Source organism: Homo sapiens, chromosome 8 (genome assembly GCF_000001405.40).
Source record: "Homo sapiens chromosome 8, GRCh38.p14 Primary Assembly".
NCBI lineage: Eukaryota > Metazoa > Chordata > Mammalia > Primates > Hominidae > Homo > Homo sapiens.
In genome coordinates, this window is record NC_000008.11 from 28272355 (window position 1) to 28274147 (window position 1793).

At 44.5% G+C, this 1793-nt stretch overlaps 1 annotated feature.

The window, feature by feature from the left end:
- Positions 329-1528: an enhancer, noted in NCBI's record as "BRD4-independent group 4 enhancer chr8:28130200-28131399 (GRCh37/hg19 assembly coordinates)". NCBI's record gives its function as "activates an origin of replication core promoter dependent on BRD2, P300/CBP, MED14 and CDK7 cofactors, and independent of BRD4, by STARR-seq in HCT116 cells {active_cell/tissue: HCT116}" and the evidence as "EXISTENCE:reporter gene assay evidence [ECO:0000049][PMID:35650434]".

The window sequence follows — 1793 nt, forward strand, 5'->3', positions numbered from 1 at the left end:
ATTGTTTAGCGAATGAAGAAAAGTAGCAACAGTGAAGTTGCATTGGCACATAAGAATTTCCTAAAGGCTGCCCATGAAAAAAAGAATTATACCAAGCTGCCAAAAGGGCTATAGATAAACTCACACATGGCAGCTACAAACAGGAAGGGAAGAAGCAAATGTTATAATGAAGCCAAGTTCATTCAGCAAACACCAGCCGAGGGCTTTCTAAGCCCAGTGCTGCAGCCTGAAGAGAAATAGAAAGGGCCTAAAGATAAGGGAAAGGAGGAAATATTTACTGAACATCTACTCTCTAATTTTATTCATGTTGAATTTCATCTTTACCACACAGAGAAGTAGATGCAAGCTCCATTTTGCTCATGAGGGTGTTACAGGACCAACAGGTGGGTATGCCCATTGCACAGTAACAGACCAACTACACTGAGACAGCAGAGTTTGCAGCAGAGAAAGAGTTTAATGATCACAGGGCTCCAAGCAAGGAGATGGAAGGAGACCCTCAAATCCATCACCCTGAGGAGCTCTAGGCTGGGGTTTTTAGGGGGATCATGGAGGGGAAAGGGGCTGGAAAATTGGGGTCATTGATTGGTTAGAGGAGAGGGGATGAAATCATCAGAATATGGAAACTGCATTCTTTGGTGAGTCAGTTCCTGTGAGGTCCTTCAGACCAGCTGACGTCAGTAGCTTCATTGGTATGCAGAACCTGAAAGAATATCTCAAATGGAAAATGTAACACTTTATAACACTCAAGCTGTTATCTATAGAGCAGTTAAGGGGAACTATAATCTTGCAGGGTCTACGTGATTCTGAGGCAACAGGCACCAAACAGCTATGAGGAAGCAGGTCAGAGAGCAGGCTGCCCTCATGATTAATACTGTGTGTGCTGCAAGCTTGGTTTATCTTCGTTTCTTCCCCTTCCTTCTTCCATGACTAATTTTATAAAGTATATAGGGATGGCTTCAAAGATGCCAAGACTGAGAAAGGCTGTCTAATGGAGCCACTGCCATTAAGCTAAGCAGCAGCAGACCCAGGATTCATTCCCAGTTCTCTCTGACCTGAATGCCCCTGGCTTTCCAGAGAAAATATGGCATCTCTCCAAGATAAGGAATGGTCCTAGACTTTGAAGAGCTTACAGCCTAACAAAGGAGATCATTTCAGTTTAATTTTAAAAAATAACCCATTAGAAAACAACCATGGACAGAGGAATTGAGACTTCAGTACTCCTCATAACTGGGTAAAGTTTAGCCTATGAAATTTTATCTGTTTTCTTCCTACATTCTAGAAAAACACCACCTGAATGTTGTCATTTCTTCTATTTCTGTTTCCTAGGATGATTTCTTTACACACTCCACCTGACCACATGGATTGAAGTTTGTCATGAACATTGTCACTTTTTGGATCACCCAGCATCTGAACCTCCTTCCAACATCTGGGGTGCTCCCAATCTTATGAATTTTAGTGACAGGCAGAGGCTACCTCCCACTACAGGGGCCAAAAATGCCAGCTGATTACCTTCCCAGTCCCCTTGCTGCTAGAGCATGATCACATGGCTGAGGCTTTGAAACAGGAGTGAGTGAGGCAAGGAAGCGAAGACCACAGATGATTCTGAAGTTTAATGAGATTGAGCCCCTGAAGGAGGAGTGGTATAGTGCTGGGGCGGCAACCTGTGTCCAGAGCCAGGGCTCCTGGTGCTGGTACCGAGGGTGTAGTCTTCAGCATGACAACGGTTTTGTCCTCCCCAGACCAGCTCTGTACTGGAATGTGCTGGGATTATATCCCTTGGTCCTGGCTCAGTG